Source organism: Homo sapiens, chromosome 8 (genome assembly GCF_000001405.40).
Source record: "Homo sapiens chromosome 8, GRCh38.p14 Primary Assembly".
Taxonomy (NCBI): domain Eukaryota; kingdom Metazoa; phylum Chordata; class Mammalia; order Primates; family Hominidae; genus Homo; species Homo sapiens.
Window position 1 is genome coordinate 47,377,656 of NC_000008.11, and position 21,389 is coordinate 47,399,044.

The 21,389-nt window shown below is 41.5% G+C and overlaps 1 protein-coding gene and 1 long non-coding RNA gene across 56 annotated transcripts in view, besides 2 other annotated features; one reads left to right on the top strand and one right to left on the bottom strand.

Annotated features, from left to right (window-relative positions):
- The window catches only part of LOC107986940 (uncharacterized), a 30,305-nt gene extending 22,353 nt beyond the window's left edge, over positions 1-7,952 (bottom strand). The window contains exon 1 of the long non-coding RNA XR_001745888.3: positions 7,888-7,952. This is a non-coding gene — a long non-coding RNA (uncharacterized LOC107986940). The remainder of the gene's footprint in view (positions 1-7,887) is intronic.
- Positions 1-21,389, top strand: part of SPIDR (scaffold protein involved in DNA repair) — a 475,429-nt gene that overhangs the window by 116,778 nt on the left and 337,262 nt on the right. For 32 of the 55 annotated variants that reach the window (NR_148202.1, NR_148205.1, NR_148204.1 and 29 more), the window contains one exon: positions 18,721-18,971. The exons of 16 other annotated variants lie outside the window; for them this stretch is intronic. Coding sequence is in view for 34 of the 39 variants with exons in the window: in XM_017013268.3 (XP_016868757.1) it covers positions 18,721-18,971 (251 nt within the window). In the remaining 5 variants the exon portion in view is untranslated. Of the gene's footprint in view, positions 1-10,685; positions 10,879-17,322; positions 17,367-18,720; positions 18,972-21,389 lie in introns of those variants that run through there. 7 more of the 55 variants (XM_017013270.3, XM_047421644.1, XM_047421642.1 and 4 more) reach the window with 2 other exon arrangements.
- Positions 3,544-4,080: an enhancer, noted in NCBI's record as "H3K4me1 hESC enhancer chr8:48293763-48294299 (GRCh37/hg19 assembly coordinates)". NCBI's record gives its function as "activates a minimal SCP1, AML or CMV promoter by ChIP-STARR-seq in naive H9 embryonic stem cells {active_cell/tissue: H9 hESC(naive)}" and the evidence as "EXISTENCE:reporter gene assay evidence [ECO:0000049][PMID:30033119]".
- Positions 4,081-4,616: an enhancer, noted in NCBI's record as "H3K4me1 hESC enhancer chr8:48294300-48294835 (GRCh37/hg19 assembly coordinates)". NCBI's record gives its function as "activates a minimal SCP1, AML or CMV promoter by ChIP-STARR-seq in naive H9 embryonic stem cells {active_cell/tissue: H9 hESC(naive)}" and the evidence as "EXISTENCE:reporter gene assay evidence [ECO:0000049][PMID:30033119]".

Consider the following 21,389-nt stretch of genomic DNA (forward strand, 5'->3'; position numbering starts at 1 on the left):
GAAACAGCAGGTTTCACCATAAAGTATGTTGTTTGCACAGACTGTGTAGACAGAGTGGTCAAGGTTTCAAGCATGCAAACATTTCTATCAGAATATTCCAAGAACTCAGTTCCCAAGTGGCCGCGTCAAGGGCCAGTCACCTGAACAGGTTGGAGCAACTCAGCCTGCTAATTCATTCCCAAGCTCTCCATAATAAGAATCTCTAGTAGCATATATTTCAGAAACACAACATGTTCTGCTAGTTGTACTTATATTACAAAATGTCCTTTTAGTGCCTTGATTATTTTTATTCAGCAGTATCTTATCTTCATTTAAGAAACACTTATATGATTCTATAAATCAAGCCCAGGATAACTTTATAGTACTTAAAGTTATGGGTAAAGTTACACCAAGATAAACATTGTTTTGTTTGAATTCATAACTTAAACCAAGTGTCTTCCCAAGAGTGGGGTTTCCAGCACTACCTTTGACATTTCTAGTTTTTCTTAGGGACTGAGAGTACCTGGCACTTTTTCCCATAGTTCATGTTCTTGCATGAATATCAAAGAGTAATTATTTTCAGAGATGACTTATGTCTATAATATTGTTTTAGCTCATTGTGGCCAATAAAATTCCCAACAGTATATTAAAGACTATCTTTTCACTATTGAAATAATGATGAAACAAGCATTATGAAACATGACACCTTTCAAATTCCTTAATACTAAAGTCCTTGGGAAATCACACTTGTTGAATGTCATGGTTATGGAAAAATACATAGGACAAATTTGTTCTTTAAAGAGAATTCATTTTGCCTTTCTTTGTAATTGCAGCTATCAAAGTTAAATGTTATCTACATACATATAGATTTTACTCTCTTATTCTTCTGGCTTCCATTATTTTCTAGACAGAGCCTGGTACATTGTGTATAAGATACTGTGTGGATAGTGGTGGTTCCTGAGATTTTTCTGTTAACTTGTGTGACTGTGAACAACTGCATATAATTCATTTAATCTTGTGTCAGTTTACCTCATTTGTCTTCTTTCACCCCAAAGTAATCTCATGAGGATTATTTTGCTCAAGTTTGATTATTTCAAAGAAGGATCATTATGTACACCTAAGATGGCAAGATGGCAAGGTGGCACTTGCCAAAAGTCCAGCCGGTGCCTTTGGAGCTAACCTTGGATCTTGAAGGGGGCCCTGGGACTCTGAAATAATTGCTAGTAGATTTGCTTTACAGTTGAGTGTTTTGAGCTCTCAGTGGCTCAGCTTAATTGTGAACAAGTAGCCAGATGTAAATCTCTAAAGAGCAGAACCTATATTTTATTCATCTTTATAGTCCTCCTAGTGTCCACATTGAGTCTTGCTGTTATCTGGCCCCTAAACCCAAGGCAAACTGGAAGGGGCTCGTGGCTTTGGCATCAGCCAGAAAAGGCTGTTAGGGCAGTATCCGGCACCCTAGGAGTGGGGCCAGCGAGCAGAGCAGCCTACATGTAGCCAGAGGGAAGGAAGCCCAGCCGGGAAGCAGAACTGCACTACCTCAGAGTCCAAAATAATGGCTTTCCACAGGAATGCCTGTGGGCTGTCATGAGATTATTCGCCTATATTCAACATATAATAAGAAGTTAGAAGAGGCTGGGCTTGGTGGCTCACGCCTGTAATCCTAGCACTTTAGGAGTGGGCGGATGGCTTGAGTCCAGGAGTTTGGGACCAGCCTGGGCAGCATGATGAAACCCCATCTCCACAAAAAATACAAAAATTAGCCAGGTGTGGTGGTGCACACCTGCAGTTCCAGCTACTCGGGAGGCTGTGGTACACCTGGGAGGCGGAGGTTGTAGTGAGCCAAGATAGCATCACTGCCCTCCAGCCTGGGTGAATTGGGTGAAAGAAGAAATCATGGAAAACTTCACTTGCAAGAGCTTTTCATTAAAATGATTAAAATATAAGATTTTAGAGAATTCAGCTCCATGAGGTACAGTGAAACACTGGTTAAATTGTGGCTAAAGGAGTTTAGGAAAGACTACTTACTGCAGACTCCTCGTAGAGGGCACAGTGCACACAAGCATATTCAAGGTTTCTGGGGCCTATGACAAGGCCTGTTTAACTTTATTCACCTGAGTGTATTCAAGCCCATGTGCCTGCGGAGCTCTGTGTCCCCTTGATCCCTGTTGCCTTTGCTCCTTGTGGAGCTTCTGGGTGAGGAGCACCCCCTGGGCCCACAGCTCAGGGCTGTCCACTCACTGGTTACTGCTTTTGCTTTTCTTTATTGCTTTTGTTATCCTAGAACACTCACCTGGCTTGATTCCTCTGAAATTTGCTACCTTCTCAGGACTTCTCTCTCAATTTCTTCCATTTTCCCCACCCATTGTGTAGCATTTTAATTCTTTGCCTTGAATAAAAATAAAGCTTGGCTCATAACCAGAAGCAACCTGTCTTGCCTTGGGTCCAGGGGCATAAGTGAACAGATTTATTTTTAAAACATGCCATCGTGTTTGTTTCTACTAATTTTGAGGCCCAGGTTTTGAGTGTAGGTCTGAGTCGATGACCTCTCAGCCTGCACCACAGCAACGCGTGCTGCCCCTGCCTGGGCCTGGCAGAAGGCTCCCTTGCAGCAGCTCAGGACTCACACTCACTGAGCAGGTTTTAAAACACACAGAATGGCCAGACAGGTCGTATCACAGTTTGTGTCAGAATTCCACAGGTGTACACTATTTTTTTTTGGAGAAGGGGGTACTTTTCATCTGTGATCACTGCAGACAAGGTGCGTCAGGACCTCGGAGGACCGTGTTGCTGGGCGGGGCCTGCTGTTTGCTGTGGAGCCCCCTGGCCCTGGTCACTGCCGCCTTCTCCACCCTCCACTCCTGCTTGGTGAACTTTGACCCGGCAGGTGCCTTTCTTGAGCCTCGTGATTCCCCTCCCCTCTTGCCCCGCTGTCTGTCATTTCTCCTTGGGCTCCTCAGAGCAGGTGCCAGGCTGACGATAGGTGGAGGGGGCTTCTGTAAGCCAGTCCATAGGTTTGAGTTAAGTTCTCTCCTTCTCACTGAGCTGCAGCTGAGGTTGGAAACATGTATCTAGTTTAAGGAAGGCAAGCCAGGTGGTTTTCAGAGGTGTAACTATGGGTGTAGCTTGTTAAACCTGTTTACCTCAGAAAATATTTTTTTCCTTGAATGTATGAGAAAACCTGTAGCTTTTGTTTTGCCTCTCACTAGCTGGCTGATTTTCACGGATAAAGTTTCAGTCACAAAAAGCACACCATGTAAACAGTGAAAGGAGATCTCTTATTGGTGGCTTAAGCCTTTCTATTGTCTGGAATTGGTGTTGCTTTATTGGTTTTAATTCAATAGAAAATAAAATTTTGTTAGCAACTGGGAGTCCAATATACTCTTTATTTTGTGTTGTTTTGCTGTTCTTTTCCACACAACCAGTGAAGTTCTTAACGCGTAAACAGAGAGCATTCTACATGAATTAATGTGTGTATGTGTGCCATGGCTGCACTGGGGTAATAGACCTGTGGATAAAGACTTTGGGTCCCTCCCTCCTTCCCTCCCTCTGTACCCATTGTACCCAGAATGATTCCTGATACACAGGCACTCAGTTAATGTGTTACATGAATAAATTTCATTTTAGAAGTGAGAGTGGAAACGCAGGCATATGATAACCAAATCTATTGACCTGTCAGCCACCAGTACTCTTTCATTCCCCTCAGTGTGAAGAGCAGTCTTGGTTTTGATTATTTTACTTGCCATGGTGTATCTTCTGTAGCATTTTTGTTGTTGCTCTTACCATCCAACCTCCTTAAAACAGTGGTTTGTATGGGATTTAAAAGCTTCTAGGCAGCCAGGGCCTTCTGACTCTTTGTTCTTTCCTTATGGTGCTACTGACTGTGCTCGTTTGTAGTGTGACTTTAAGAAAGGGAGGCTGAACTCAGGATAGGCAGGGTGAACTTGGCATAACACTGCTCTGGGTGTTCTCAGAAGATCCTATTCGGGCAGGTCTGGGCCTGGTCAGTAATTGGGTGGGAGGCCTCAGAGAGCAGAAACCAGCGATTGGCAGGAAGTGGCATGGGCAGCTCACCTGGCCTGCGAGTCTGGGCTCAGCTGGACCTGCCCCACGTGGCACCAGGCGCACAAGGTGTCCTCACAGAGCCGCCCCGTGGCACGCCTTTGCATGTTGGCCAAGACCAAAGACTTGAGACTTTTGTTTTTGCATGAAATATGAGTCAAGTGAAGTTTTATTTCTTATGATTGGTTATCTCAAATAATGATATTAGTTTAGTTACCATCCTCCCTTTGTTCTACCAGCTGGGTAGCATTTAGCTACAAAGGTGTAATTTTAAAATAAGGATGTGATAATTTATTAGTGATATTCCATTATTGCTCTTGGTGTGACCTTTCTATAAATTTTAGAATCAAGAGCTTTAATTTCTGAACATTAAAGAATGGTGTTTCATCTGGCTAATTTGTTTCATACCAAAGAGGCACTGCTTCATCTTGAAATTAGACTTCAATGTCTTCCTGACTTGATAGCAGACACAGGTTTTCATCTAGGAGGACCCTACACGTGTAGACTGTCATACATGGACTTAGATTAAGATTTGATTGATAGGAACTGGGACACTGCAGTTCAAGGGTAGCACTTCAGGTATTCAGGGCAATCACAAGAAGTTTTTCTGAACATTTCATAAAGAAATGTGTAGGTAAGATTACAGGAAGTAACATTAGCTTAAAGAGTAGCAATTGAATTATATAAAGCATTGTGCTAATTAATTTTTAAATTTAAAGTTTTTTCTCTTTTTTTGAGATGGAATCTCGCTCTGTTGCCAGGCTGGAGTACAGTGATGCAATCTTAACTCACTGCAACCTCTGCCTCCTGGGTTCAAACGATTCTCCTGCCTCAGCCTCTGGAGTAGCTGGGACTACAGGAGTGCACCACCACACCCAGCCAATTTTTGTATTTTTAGTAGAGACGTGGTTTCACCATGTCGGCTAGGATGGTCTCGATCTCTTGACTTCGTGATCCACCCACCTCGGCCTCCCAAAGTGCTGGGATTAACAGGCATGAGCCACCAGGCCCAGCCTGAAGTTTGTTATTTTTTTTAAAGAAAAAGTGATACTGTTGAATATCCACCTCTTTAGAGAATTGTAGCATTTTAAAATTGTTTTTTCTGGTCAGCTCCTATAAGTATATGCCCGCATTTCTCCTTTTATGCACCACTTCCCCCCATTGCATACATTACCAAAAAACTGGAAGATTTCAAGTTAGAGAAGCAATAGGTCTTTTTCTTATCGTTTTGACTGCCCAGTATTACAGATTGTCAAAATAAAGAATCCCCAAAAGAAACGGAATTGTGGAGTCATTTTAACTCCTAGTATACAGCCTGTGGGAGGCTGTCTGTGGTGAGGCAAAGCTGTAGAAATGCCCCCGAACTGTTGGAAGCCCAGGAGTTAGGGCACTGCTGCATCCTCACCCTACCCACCACAGGGGCATCTCACTGGGATCTTTTCTTCTCCATGGTCTCTTTGCCAAACAGCTGCTTTTCCAGCCTCCTGCCAGGTGCTCTGTGTCTTTGTGCTGGTCCTCTTGAGCATTTAAAACTCCAAATAGTATTTTATTTCTTCTTTCTTTGCTCCCTAATATTTTATCTGTTTCAATTAATACCATTATCCTGGCTGGCATGAACTTTGGCCTCTTCTAGTATATCACTTGAACCAACTGACTCTTTCTCTGAAGTGTTTTCATTGGTACTATTTGGTTACTGAACTGTTTTAGAATAATAGTTATTAAAGTAATGGGCCGGAAATGAATCAGCACTTGCCAGTGTGCTGAATTACTACATTAAAATGCTGTATTAACTTAATTTGCCAGAGCATTTCATCAGTGGAGTTGGAGGTGGAGACAAGTCAGAATGCACAGACTTTACCACTGACCCCCAGACTCCAGTGTCTCAAAGCCCTATTTAATGAGTGTGGGTGAATTTGCCCAAGTTCATCATCATTCTAAGAAAATAGATTTAGAGCGTTGTCGCCACTGCTGATGGTTCTGTTGATTTATTTGCCTTTGTGCAAGAGGACCTGTGTGCTCTCTTTCTATACATCCACCTGCAGGCACACACTTGTATTTAATTTATGCTTTAGAAAATTATTTTTATAAGTAAAACTATATATTTGTGTTTTTTAACTATAATCTTTATAATTAGTAGAAAGGAGGCTTGGGCTTGCCATTTTGATTATTTGCTTTTATCTTTTTGACTCAAGGACAGAAATTCCAGGTAGTCTGTTCACCTTTTGCAGTGCAGGGTTTCAGTGAACTTGTTAGGCCTGAATACCACCAGGTATTATTAGTATAAAATGTTCATGTTTTGATATATGGTATTTAATTCTCGCAACTTACTGTTTTGGTAATGCATTCACAAAACTCTAAAACTGGAAAGAGAATTCACCTGAACAAAAATGACAACAGTTTATGAAGGATTCCATTTTTCCCTACTGAATTCTTAGGGCTACATTAGCATGTATTGGTTTGTTGAATTAATTAGTGAATGAGAGTTTACCACTCATTTTTAAGCCCACCCAGCCCCCTCAGTAAAGCAAAACATCAATGTTTCTGGTGAAACTACTCTCAAATCTTTGTTCTTGTGTAGTTGTATATGTACGTTTTTGTTAGCCTTTGAAAAAGTATAGCTTTACTGATACTTCTGGTTTTCTATTTACTTTGAAACTACTAAAATAAAGCTTTTGTGTTACGTAAGACTGATGAAACCTAGCATTGAAGAAAAGTTGGAAATATTATTAGAAATTACTTTTTCTTTTTTTTAGTACTTCAGCGTAATTTGTATAGAAACTGGTATCCGCAGGCTGTAGTGCCCTTATACCATGTTTAAAAACATTTTGTTTTTTCAGTTAGTGGCAAACATTTTACAATTAGGAAAATTCACTTAGGTTTCAGATTTCTTTATCTTCCCTTGAAGAAACTCTGCTAGTTATTGGGCAGATTGCCTGTATTGCGGGAGGCGGTTCGCTCTGAGCAGCAGCTGCCAGTTTAGACAGATGCGGGGCTTCCCTCACACCCCTGCCGTCCTCTCCTCCTCCTCCCTCTCACCCTCTGGGCTGGAGGCCATGAACTCAGATCCTCTGCTAAAAAATTCCATTGCCGACTCAAGTCAGTGGCCACTGATATATTTTTGTTTATCTAGATGGCCTAAGAAATATTTATTTATTTCTTGTTCTGCTCATTTTGAAGGGAGAACAAACATCCCTAGTTACTTAACAGATTGAAATAATGTGTCCTCTCCTACCCATGAGATCACTTCTTGCCAGTCTCTCTCTTTTGTTCCTTCTCCCTCCATTTTGTTTTGTTTTGTTTCCTCTTTTGTCACCTGAGTGTCTGGATCCTCTAGGTCCTTTTATACTCTCTACTTTTAATTTACTAAATTTTAAATATTTTTAAATAAAAAATACATACTTATGGAAAAAATTTCAATTAGAACAGTAGTTAAAGCAAAGAATAATAACCTCAGCTCCCAGAATTAATCATTGTTGTTTCTTGTGTAGTCTTCAAGAACTGTTCTGTGTATATAAGAATATCTGTATGTGTTCTTCTGTATTTTTTTGTTTTTCTCACCCGTAAGGTCTTCCTATATATACATTAGTTTTGTAATTTTCTGTATTCTTATCAAGACTTATGGATCTGTCACATTGTTTCTAATGGCTGCATGATATTTTCTTGTATAAATACCATAACCAGCACTTGATTAATGGATGATTCCAGTTTTTTGGTTTTGGGTGTTCTTTACATATAAAGTATGCTACGCTATGCCTTCATGTACATATGAGTCTGGACAGTTGAATGAATAGACCCTGTAAGAGAATTGATAGGTTAAAAGTATTTACATTTTAAGTTTTAACATACCTTGCTTTTAGTCTCCCAGCACAGTCACAGGAATTCACTCTTTCTGTCAGTGGCCAAGTGCTTCTGCCGGCCTGTGGTTCCCAGGGAGACTGATCATCTTGTATTGGTAGTTTGTATCACGTTTCCTTGGAATGCCTTTTTGCATATTTTGCTCATTTTTTCCATTGGGTTGGCTTCCCATTTCTTATTGATTCATGGGAGTTTTTTGTACATCAAAGAAAACAAACTGCTTGTTAATTGTGGCAGATTTTTTCTTTTTTGTCCTCTTTTGTTGTTGTTGTTTTACCAGTTTGCTCTCTTTTAAATGTTTCTACTTGGGGAAATTTTTGGACACAGTTAAATTTTTATGTGGTCTGTCATTTCTTCTATGGACTTTGTGTCATACTAGAAAAACCTTTCTCCAGTTTACAATTATTTTTAAAATGTATCCATATTTTGTTTTAGTTCTTTATAAAAATATTTTGATTTTTTGATCCTTTGGAAATTGATTTTGGTGTAAATAGAGAGGGATCCAGCTTTTTTTTTCTCTCTGGATAGGTAGTTATTCCCAAGTAAGTTTCTTTTGCACTCTTATTTTTATTATTTTTATATGCAATCTTATTTCTATGTAGGTATACTTAAGGAATATCAATTTGGGTATACTTCAGGAATATCAATCATTGGATAGTCTATTCCTGTGTTGGTACCAAGCTTTTAATAACTATAGTTCTACAGTATGATTTATTATTTGGTAAGTGTAGTTGCCCTTCATTTATTTTCTTTTTTAGAATTTTCCTTGCTTGAATGAAAAAAGCTTGAGGGAAATTCTTTAAATTTAATGGGGTAATTCTACTTGACGTAAGTATTCATATACTTTATATATGTATATTTTAAAATTTTTTGGTTACACTGAGGCTCCTAGTTATTAACTGTTGCTTTGAGATTCACTGAGGAAATCAGGTGTGTATGCCTGGAGAGGTGGAACAGCATTTTGGAAGAGTGGAGTCAGGAGTGGTAGGAAGTGGGCTGCTTCCTACCTCTGTTACTGGATTGCTGTGGGGGCTCGAGCAAGCCACTGAAGTGTCATCCCTCATGTGTTCCCATGTATAGGACAGCCTCTCCCAGTACAGTTACTGATATTTAGATATAATGAGTAGTTTTCCATCACTGTTTTTCATTCAGTTGTGAGAAATAAATGAGTTAATACATTTATAAATATTTCAAAACTGGTGGAGCCTAGTATAAGAACTTGATGATGATGATATTGTTGTGGTTATTTTTTCTGTTTTACTATAGTTGAAGGGAGCCTAATTTTCTCATGTTCCAGAAAATAAGGAGGAAGTGGGGGGACGAGGGGAGAGAGAGAGAGAAAGAGAGAGAGAGATATAGATATAGATATAGATATAGATATAGATATAGATATAGATATAGATATAGATATAGATACAGATATAGATTGAACTTACTGCTGTTGCCCCAGCCCCAGCACTCACCAATTTCTGCTAGGGTGCTGAAGGCAGACCTGTGTGATGAGGGGATATTTAAGCTGAAACCTTGAAACATGAGAAAGACTTAGGGAAAGATTTGGGGTGGGAATGAGGAAGCATATTCTAGGGCAGAAAGGGCTATGGCATCCACAGGCAGGGAAGAATATAGTGTAGAAACCTGAAAGCACGTCAGAAGCGCTGGGGAGCAGCGAGGAGGCAGACAGCTATGAATGGAGGCCTGGTGGGAGCAGGGGCCACCTGAGGGCTTAGAGACCACAGGGCAGGTGGGGGGCATTGAATGGCATCCTAGGTGTACTGGGAAGTTGTTTATAGGATCTTAAGAGCATGGAATGCTCTGACTTAGGTTGTTCTGATTGTGGTGTGTAGGGCAGACCCTGGCAGGAGGGCAGGAGTGGAGCAAGAGACCAGCTATGAGTCACAGCCATTGTGGTGCCAGGTGGGAATGGGTGGAGAGAAGGGGGCACATCCTTGTTAGTTTTAGAGGTAAAACTTAGTCATGAATTGAATATCAAGGGACTTCTGACTTGCACATAGGTGGCATGTGGTATTATTGATCCAGGTGATACTGAGGCAAACAACTGGTTTTGAGGAACATATCAGGAGTTTGATTTTGAACTTGTTGTATTGAGATATTTGTGAATATGTGAATTGAACCCTTTAAGGGAAGATGGGCAGCTCTGAAATGGAGAGAAGTTGGCCGGGATATTTACAGTAACTCACTGCATGAGCATTTCCCTTCTTCAAATACATCCCATTTGCAGTCTCCACAACAGTCTTCTCAACGTGTCTTCCAAGTTCATGCTCCTTGCCTACTTGGAAATCTTCAAAAGCTTTCTGCTTTCTTCAGTGATATCTAAACTGTTAAACCTGACATTCAAGATCCTCCACAGCTTGCTCCTCACCCAATCCATAGGATTATGTTTTTCACATCACTGTCTCTTGCCTCCCAGTATGAACTCTAAACTCTCAGTTGTCTAGACTCGTCTGTAGGTCATGAAGGTCATTGTACTTTCCTGCCTTAGGTGCTTTCTTCTCTCTTTCTGTATCTTTATCGGTTGAGAATTTTCTAATCCTCTGAGACCCAGTATAGGTTTTACCTCTTCCACTATGTCTGCTGGTTTTAGATCAACCAGAAATAAGGGCTCCATTTTTTGTCCATTTGGAGCACTAGTGTGAGCCATACTTATATCTGCTTTATTTTATTTCAAGCTCTTTATGGAAGTGTGTCTCATCATATTTTCTCTATTCCATAATACCTTGTACATGGTGTGTACTGAATAAATATTTATTTAATATTTTCTCTATTTGGAGATATTTTTCAGGTAAATATCCTTTTGGTTGCAAATAACAGGAACCAAATGTAGCTGGTTTTAAAAGAAGAGAAAATTCACTAGAACAGTACTGCAAATCTTGAGTAACTTAAGATGAAGTTGAAGGATGAACTGAACCTTGGGGCAGCCCTGGGAACCTCACCAGCATGAGCTCATGGACTTTTCGTCTAGAGGTTTGTCATTAGTGTAGCTTAACTTCCACTTCCCAGACTCTACGTCAGTTCAAAATCTGGAGGAAAAAAATCTGATTGGCTTAGCATTGGTCAGTTGTCTACCTGAGGCCAATCAGCTCTGACCCCTGACAGAAGTCTTATCCTAGACACATGGCCACTGAGATGTGAGATGTCCATAACCCCATGGCTGCCAGAGGTTGAAGGGTTTCCTTCTGTGGACAGAGACATATTTGTTCTCTGAAAAGAGGAGTCAGAAATAAATTGCAACAGATGTGTACTACAGCAGTATTGCTAACTTTGGAAACGGAGCCAGTATTGAATACTTTATGGTTTTGAGAAATTGTAGATGGCTTCAACCAAGGTCATGTTAGTATATTGCAATGGAAATAGGACCAGACTGTTGTCTTTGTTGACTGGCTTCATAAAAACTACTCCTTGCCTCATGCCAGTGTTGTTGTTTGTGATATTTACTCACTAAATCAGAAGACTCCTCCTCCCAAACTTGCTTACATCAAGGAGGAAAAAAAGTCCTGATGATAATAACTTTATTGTATTTAAACATTAGCAGATTATGATAATAGCTACATAGTCATTCTTTGCTCTGTGCATTTGACCATTGCAGATGTTTTAATGCTATAAAAGATCCTGACTTACTCATCTGTATTATTTCTGTAACTGGGCTATATATCTGAAGGAAGTAATCTGTGAAAGTTTCAAGAGGGCATCAGTTGGTTACCTTTGCAAAAATAGGAAAAATATGGAAAATGTAAGTGTTTTAAAAGAAAAACAAATTTAAATCTTTGTTCTTGAAATTCATCATTTGCGCAAAGTAATTTTTTTTGTAAGGATGATTTGGTAAAGGATAAAAGTTTCCGGCCGGGCACGGTGGCTCACACCTGTAATCCCAGCACTTTGGGAGGCCGAGGCGGGCAGATCACGAGGTCAGGAGATCAAGACCATCCTGGCTAACACGGTGAAACCCCGTCTGTACTAAAAATACAAAAAATTAGCTGGGCGTGGTGGTGGGCACCTGTAGTCCCAGCTATTCAGGAGGCTGAGGCAGGAGAATGGCGTGAACCCGGAAGGCAGAGCTTGCAGTGAGCTGAGATGGTGCCACTGCATTCCAGCCTGGGCGACAGAGCAAGACTCCATCTCAAAAAAAAAAAAAAAAAAAAAAAGTTTCCATGGAACAAAAATTTCGCCCAAGTACATTGGGTCACCATGTGGCAGCAGTAGGCAACCTATCAGGAATAACTGTGGTTAAGAAATGTGGTTGATGTTTTTAAGGTACTGGGAAAGATGTCAGTGGTGTATACCGGGTCTTTCTTCTGTCACTTTAAAATTTTAATAACAATTTTCTGACCACCTTCTCTCTATGGAACACATAGATCCAGATGATTGAAAAATTCATTTTCTCTCCTACTGGAGAAATGGTTAAAGGATATGAACACACAGGAAGAAATGTGAAGAGCCAATTAACAAGTGCAAAGAGGCTCAACCCTGTGAATGATCTGGGATGTGCACACTTAAGTAGGAGAGATAAAACATTTCACACCCATCAGATATGTATACATTTAAAAGTTTAAAATTACTCAGTGATGCTGATAATGTGCCACAGCTTTCAAACACTGCTGATGGGCATTTCTGTCAGCACAGGGTCTCTACAGAGCCATCTCCCAGTTGCCAGTGTAGTTGAGAATGGACTGTCCAAGAATCCACTGGGCTAGTGTATACCACTGAGAAGCTAGCATGTATGTGCCCAGTGAAACAAGTATAGTACACACATGTTACAGTTTTGTTTTAATGTGAAAATTTACAAAACTCTTAAGTGTCTACCAACAGTGAAATAGATAAGTAAAAAGTGGTATAGTCAGAATACTTTATAGCAATGAAAATTAATGATCTACAGCTGCTGTGTCCTTGCAAAATAGTTCATTTGTATGTGTGCTATTAAAAAAAAAAAGCAGATAATAATGAAATGCCAAATTCAGGAGAGAGTTGCCTCTAAGGAGAACAGGCATAGAAAGAGAAATATAGGACATATCAACCATACCATTAAAAAAAAAAAAAACTAAAGAAAAACTTGCATCGTGTTAAAATTTGACAGAAGGTGATGGGTACATCTACTTGTTATTTTTTTTTCCTACCTTTCTGTGCCGTTAAATATTTCATAATAAATAGTCATTATCTGTATCTTAAAATATTTCTCAAAGAATTTTTCCATTTTTGGATGATTAAGCTGGGAATGGGGGAGTCAACTTGTTCAAAGTAACAAAGTAATTAAACAGTTGAGCTGTGATCAAAAACAAATCTGTCTTGTTCCAAAACTTATGGCCCTCCTTTCTCGTTAGTCTGATTCTACAATGTAGAAAGGAAATATAAGCTTGAACCTATGAACCTGCAGTTGCCTTTGACCTATTTCTGACTATTCCCTCTCTCTTCCACCCTCTCTGGCACACACTTGTCTGTGCACACATGCACACCTGTACATATCCTTTCTGAAAGATCGTGTGTTTCTCACAGTCGGGCTTAGGCCAAGACAGCTGGTGTCCGGTGAGCCAGTAGGTCCTCTCTGTCCGTGGTATGAGAGTTCCTCCGTGTTCATCTGGGGTTATGGACGTGGGGGATATTCTAAAATACCATATGCTAAAATGATGGCTTCTAGTTATCCTTTCCTAAAGGTGTTCCTTCTGCCTTGGTTCCTGTTAGAAATGACTACATGGGCCGGGTGCAGCAGCTCACACCTGTAATCCCAGCACTTTGGGAGGCTGAGGTGGGAGGATGGCTTGAGCTCAGGAATTTGAGACCATCCTGGGCAACAAAGTGAGACCTTGTCTCTACAAAAAAAAATTTAAAAATAGCCAGGTATGGTGGCACACATCTGTAGCTTCAGCTACTTGAGAGGCTGAGGTGGGAGGATCACTCAATCCCAGGAGAGTCAAGGCTGCAGTGAGCTGTGTTCACGCCACCACACTTCAGCCTGGGCAACGGAGTGAGATCCTGTCTTAAAAAAACAAAAAACAAACAAAGTAAATAATTAATTAAAAAATGACTACACGAAGAATCCAGGATTTGCTCTGTGGGTTAAGACAGTATTTGTCTTTTTGGTTGTCTACAGAAGACATTCTTGGTGTTCCTCATTGTCTTTTGTATAGAAATCTTCTTAGAAACCAAGAAAAAAGGCCGGGCGTGGTGGCTCACGCCTGTAATCCCAGCACTTTGGGAGGCCAAGGCGGGCGGATCACGAGGTCAGGAGATCGAGACCATCCTGGCTAACATGGTGAAACCCCGTCTCTACTAAAAATACAAAAAATTAGCTGGGCGTAGTGGCGGGCGCCTGTAGTCCCAGCTACTCGGGAGGCTGAGGCAGGAGAACGGCGTGAACCTGGGAGGCGGAGCTTGCAGTGAGCCGAGATTGCGCCACTGCACTCCAGCCTCGGCGACAGAGCCAGACTCCGTCTCAAAAAAAAAAAAAAAAAAGAAAGAAAAGAAAAGAAACCAAGAAAAAAGTTTTAACAGAAAAATAAGTACAAATTTTAAAATATTAAATTTAAAACCAAACGACATGTAAACTATATGGGCTAAAAAGCATAGCTAACATTTGCTAAATGCTTATATGTTAGCATTTATTACTGCATCTCCAATTTGAAGATGGGGAAACAACCTCATCAAAGAAACTACCTTAGGGAAGTTAAATAAATTCCCTAAGGTAGCCCACTAGTAGGGAGTAGGGCTGAGACCACAACAGTGTTCGAGTCAGACACCACCTTTATGGGGAAGGACCTTCTAGGCTACTACCACTCCAAGTGGTCTTCTCCATTTCTACATCTGCTGTATGCAGGGTATGTTTGCTTTGTATTTTTAGTTTAGTTTTTCCTTCAGTTTTTAAATTGGGTATAAGGATGCAAGAGCAAGGATGGACTTGAAAATTTCTTTATACTGCTGTAGCAGCTAACATAGCATGTGGGTAGTTGGCATTCAGTATATTCTTAGATATTAGCTAATTCTCACTGAGGAAGCAATAGCTTAAGCCAAAGGTACCTAAAATTTGTTATGGGTTGATGCTGAGAATTTTGAAGTACTACCTGAGCTGCTAAGTCTTACCAGTCTTACTGATGTTAAATTCTTCACTGAGGAAATTCATTTGGACTTCATGGTTTTCATGATTTTAACTTAAGCATCGTCGTACCAGGTTGTTCACAGCTGAGCACATGTACCTTTTTATGCCATCCTTTCTGGGAAAGAAAATTAAATATGCCTATCCAAACTTTCTAAAACAAATTATCAGGTCTGCTGTTTTCATTTTATCTTCCGTTTATTCTTTAAGGCACATTCTTACCAAGGTCCCATGGATTTATTGTATCTGTACAATTTCTCTTTTGTCAAATGCAGAACACTTTTCAGTCTCTTGTCACCTGAAGACAGCATGAATGTTGTTGCTATTTCCAAGGTTCCAATTTGGACCTTCTCTTCTTCCTTTCACATAATTTTCCATAGATAGTCTTCTCCAGCCCTCGTGCCTTCACATCCTGATTCTCATGATTTCTGAAGTTGTGTTTCCATCCCACATCACTCTTAGAACTCCAGACCTGCAGAGCCACTGCCTGTTGACCAGTTTTTCCCCAGGTATCCCATAGGCACACAACATTCACACATCAAAACTAGCTTGAATATTAGCAACTCCTGCCTGAATGTATTTCCTGCTGTTGAATTTGGTCCTCAAGTGTTATTGCATCCTTTTCCTCATTTTCTTTTCAGTCCACCTCTCTATTCCCACTACCTCTCAGATCCTCTCAATGTCTTGCTTAGACTATGGAAAAGCCTTCTAGCTAGCTGCCCTCCCCCACACCAGCGTAGTTTCCTCCCTCTCTGTATCACCATTCAAATGTTGTTCGAATGGTCAATTCCACATTACCATCTGAGGTTGTTGGCTCCTGCGTCAAGCTGTCAGTGGCTCTCTCCTGCCTCAGAATCTTGGTCCTCCTCTTTCTTCTCCCTGGAATGTCCTTCCCTCCTCTCTCTGCCTAATTAATCCACACTTAGCATTGAACTTCAGGTGCCAGATTCTGGGAAGCAAACCTCTTTTCTTTTCTTTTTTTTTCTTTTCTTTTCTCTTTTCTCTTTTCTTTTCCCTTTCCTTTTTCCTTTCCTTTCCTTTCCTTTCCTTTCCTTTCCTTTCCTTTCCTTTCCTTTCCTTTCCTTCCTTTCATTCTTTCGTTCTCTTTCTTTCTGTCTTTCTTTTCTTTTCCTTCCCTTCCCCTTCTCCCTTCTTTTCCATCCTTTCTTTGTTTCTCTCTCTCTCTCCCTTTCCCTTCCTTCCTTCCTTCCGTCCTTCCGTCCTTTGTCCTTTGTCCTGTCTTTCGTCCTCCCCTCCCCTCCCATCCCCTGCTTCCTTTCTTCTCACTCTGTCACCCAGGCTGGAGTGCAGTGGTGTGATCTTAGCTCACTGCAACCTCCACCTCCCAGGGTCTAAAGCCATTCTCCTGCCTCAGCTTGCCCAATAGCTGGGACTACAGGTGTGTGCCACCACACCGGGCTAATTTTTGTATTTTTAGTAGAGACAGAGCTTCGCCATGTTGGCCAGGCTGCTTTCAAACTCCTGGCCTCAAGTGATCTGCCTGCCTTAGCCTTCCAAAGTGCTGGGATTACACCCACCCAGCCAGAAACAGACCTTTTCTGACACTTAACTCTTCTCTTTCCCTGTGCCCCTCTTGGCTTTGTTGCCCTTCTTATGTGTTCTCCTTGGAGCCCCAGCAGTACCTCCATGGCAGCATTCCTACCAGTGTTTCATAACTATCTGGGTCTGGCCTCCCCCATCCTCACAAGCAGCATGAATCCTCTTCATGGTTGCACGTGAGTCCCCAGCCCAAGCCGCCTGTGGTTGGTTATTTGTTGACTTATTTCTAGGATAGTGGTTCTCAACTGGGGGTGATTTTGCCCCCAGGGGACATTTGGCAACTTCCGGAGACCTTTTTGATTGTCCTGACTGGTGGGGCAGTGCTCCTGTCATCTAGCGGGGAGAGGCGAGGGTGCTGCCAAGCACCCCATTGCACACACGTCGGCCCACCTCATGGTCCAGTCCCAAATGTCAAGAGTGCCAAGGTTGAGAGACAGTGCTGTAGGACAAAGGGCAAAATTTTATGGTACTTAAGACATCTCATAACAGAAAAGATGAAGTTAATTAAATATGGAGTTCTTAAGTAATACGTAAAGGGTTTTAGTGTCAGCTTCATTTTCATTCTGAACTGCTCTGGATCTCTTGGTGGCCCAATTTGATTGTTTATTCACAATCTCTCTTGTGAGGCAGATCTGTGCCCCAATGGTTACTAATGGGTTAACAAGTACCTGGAGTGAGTTAGGCACAAAACTAAAATGGTGAGGACAGTAGAACTAAGCTCTGCATTTATTTTAGAAATTTAGACATTTACTTTTTCTTATTTTCAGTGTGCCTGATAGAAGGTGACTACCCAAGCAGTTTTTTTGACGAGGTATGGAGATGGATGGTTCCTTTTTTTGACTCTTAAAAAGAGTTTGGCTGGGGTTGGTGGTTCATGCCTGTTATCCCAGCACTTTGGGAGGCTGAGATGGGTGGATCACTTGAGGTCAGGAGTTCGAGACCAGCCTGGCCAACATGGTGAAACCCCGTCTCTACTAAATGTACAAAAATTAGCTGGGCATCGTGCTGGGCACCTGTAATCCCAGCTACTTGGGAGGCTGAGGCAGGAGAATCACTTCTACCCGAGAAGCAGAAGTAGCAATGAGCCGAGATCATGCCACTGCACTCCAGCCTGGGTGACAGAGTGAGACTCCATCTCAAAGAAAAAAGAAGAAAGAATTTAACCATATAATCCTCAGAAAAAAAGGCCTTTTGTTTTATGTAGATTTGCTAATGATGTAAATTCTAGTGCCACCTCCAATATTTAGGTAGTGAATTAGATGGGACTTTTAGTGCACTGGAAGTTAGAATATTGAAGGATGAATTGTTGCTGACACAGAATAACATGGGATTGACCTATACAATCAAGTAACAGGAAAATAAAATCCTATTGTGCTTTAAATTTGGCATGTGTCTTGGCAAAGACAGAAAACATCAGAAAAGGTTTTGATTTTTCCCTCCAGAATTAGCCATATAATTTTTTTTCTTTTTTATTGGCCATACGATATGAATTCTTGTTTTATAATTATACAGTTTTCAAAAAATTATTATTTTGAAAGTTTAGAAATCTGAGTTGGAGAAAGAAACATTTTAGGAAATCTTAGGAAAAGGAGACAATGACTCATATTCTTAAATAGTTCCTGTTGGTATTTGCAATTTCAAACTAGTCTCTGGAAAATAATTATATAATTGTATGGAGAGAGTCAAGTCTTTATCTTTACCCTTGGGGACTTCTTTTGGCAAATTAAATGATTTATACCTGAAGAGACAATTTAGCTTCATGTTAAATTTCAAAATCCAAGAAATACTTTCTTTCCAGTAGCTGTCAGATTGTAGTGACGATCATCAGCCTTTCAGATGAGTGTTATTAGTTCAGTTTTGGAGATTGCCTCTATGTGTGGTACTGTCTTGTAGTTTCCTGAAAGAAGATTGAAGTATTTGTACTTATTTTTGTGGGTTCTGTGAGATAAAGTCTGGCTTACAGTTGATTTAACCCCTTCTTATCTTTGTCTTGGTTACTTTTGGATTTTGTCAGAACAGAAGTTAAAGCTGCAGATACTGTATTCAAAAAGGTCCTTCAAGAGCTGTAACTGTAAGGGAATGGAATGATAGATGTATATAAATGTGGACTTGAATAAAGTATCCTTTGTATTTAAAAATATGCCTTTCTTTTAATTTTTTTTCAGCCAAGTTCTATAGAAATTTTAGAGTATTCATCAGATAGTGAAAAAGAAGATGATTTGGAAAATGTCCTACTCATTGATTCAGAATCCCCTCACAAATACCACGTGCAGTTTGCATCGGATGCAAGACAGATTATGGAGAGACTGATAGATCCAAGGACAAAATCAACAGAGACCATTTTGCATACACCTCAGAAACCCACAGCTAAGTTTCCCAGGACTCCAGAAAATTCAGCAAAGAAGAAGCTTTTAAGGTTAAATTATACCCTTTTAAATACTCTTTTTAAATTTTTCTCTTTCTTTAAAAACCCAAATATCTAAAATGTTAATTTTAAGATACTTGTATATGAAGTCCTAAATTCTGGAGCTGATTAATGGAATGTTCATCGAAGTTGAGGGTCATGGCTTTACTCATGCCCAGCAGATGTGACTGCCTTTCTTAATGGAGATTTATTTGGGTTATCAAATGTTATTGAGAGTCAGTGTTCTAGGTGCTGTGGAGACAAGTGTGTAATTGTTCTGTTCTTGAGTAACTTATAATGTAAAAAGGGAAATGGAAGTATGTGTAAATCGTGTCAGATTACTTTTATGAGAGAGATCTGCCAGGGCAACACTTGCAAGTGCAAAAAAGTATGAGAGAGCAGAACCCACAGATGAGACGTATCTGGTGTGCCATGAACTACAGTGTCAGTCAGGGGCTGGGCTGTGGCCATGGTGAGCAAAGCAGGAAAGATAACGTGAAGGAGCCTGTAGGGACCTTCCCCAACCCCGTGTAATACAAGGTGCTCTTTGTTGTTTGACCAAACAATGCCAAGCAAAGACTCAATGAAGGTAAGAAAGAGAGGCCGGGCGCGGTGGCTCACGCCTGTAATCCCAGCACTTTGGGAAGCCGAGGTGGGTGGATCACAAGGTCAGGAGTTCGAGACCAGCCTGGCCAACATGGTGAAACCCCATCTCTACTAAAAATACAAAAATTAGCTGGGCGTGGAGGTGCGCACCTGTAATCCCAGCTACACAGGAGGCCGAGGCAGGAGAATTGCTTGAATCTGGGAGGCGGAGGTTGCAGTGAGCTGAGATCGTGCCATTGCACTCCAGCCTGGGCAACAGGGCAAGACTCCGTCTCTAAAAACAACAACAAAAAAAAGAAAGAAAGAGAACCTGTAGGAAGCATTGCCACAAAAGCAAAAGTAATAGAGCATTTCAAAGCAAAGGAGTTTCAGTAGAAAGAGTAAATATGATCATGAAGAGCGTAGGTGTTGGATCCACGGATGATATTGTTACATCATAAGAAGACCAGCCTGGCATGCACTGAGGGGAGCCCAGGGTCTGTGGCTGAAGTAGCACACGGTTCAAGGAGTGACGACAGGGTCATGGCTCTTATGTGGGAACTGGGACCCAGGCAGGAGGGTTTCGATTACTCTCTTCCGTATTGCCAGTCACCTTGAAAAGATCCAGCCTCTAGAGAGGGTGCAGGGAATAGGAGAGACAGATTTTGAAAACAGTGGGGGTCCGAATAAACAGAGTTCGCACCATGGCTACATCAGCATCCTGGAGAAGAGGTAGGGAAGGAAGGTGGAGAGGAGAGCCCCAGCTTGAAGACACCAGTGGAGGAAAGAGCTTGAGGATGTGGCCGAGTTTAGTGGGATGGTCAGGGCACAGAGATCCATTTGTGCCTACTCACCACGAGACAGGAGGCCTTATGCCCAAAGCGAAGAAGTTGTGGCCTCAAAAAAAGAATGTAATTTGTAATAGTAGTAGAATGTAATTTGTAATAGAAGGTGGTTTGTAATAGTCTCTGGGAAGAAAGGGAGGGAAGCCCATTAAAGGAATTAGCATGTTTTTGTTGGTGAAGGTGATGCCATGCGATTACAGAAAGTCATGTCCCCAGCCCTGCTGAGGGCCGACCACTTGCCAAGCACTGTTCATGCACAGGAGCAAGCAAAGTGGAATGGTTGCTCATAACAGAGAGCAAAGGTGAATGGAGCCCCGCTTGTGTCGAGGGAAGGGCAATAAGGAGCCAAGAAGTAAAATAGATGTCAACTCAGAGAGAGAAATTTTATGGAGAAAAAGCAGAAAAGGGGGACAGAAAAGGGTCCAGAGGTGGGGGAGGACATTTCAGTTTGAAACAGACTCAGGGAAGCCCTGAGGAGATGCCTCATTGAGCAGCTGGAAGAATGGAGTGTGCAGTGGAGCAGGTGCTTTTGGTTTTGTATCTTTGGTTGACAATCATGAGGCTTTTGGCCATTTTCAGTTAGACATTATACATCTTAGTGGGACTATGGGTCTGCAGTCCACGGGCAGGCCTGGCGTTGGAGATGTGAATGCGTAGACTGCAGTGTCCAGATCTTTTGAAGCATGAGCTAGGTCAGGTCACAGGAGATCCAGTGCTGGGCGAGAGGAGAACCTGTCCAAGGCCTGAGTCCTGGGTGCTCTGCCAAAGTTGGGGTGTGGAGGGAGAGACTGCTGAGGGAGGAGCCAAAGCAAAGGGAGCATGGTGTGCTGAGGCAAGTGAGGAGAGAGGGTGACCCACTGTGACAGATGCTGCCAGGGCTGACCTCTGTGATTCCACGGTGAAAGGCAGGGTGTGCAGCCGTCTCAGCGGCGTGACCAGGCAAAGCAGACTGCCATGGACTCGAGAGAATGGAAAGAGAGAAACTGAAGACAGCACGATG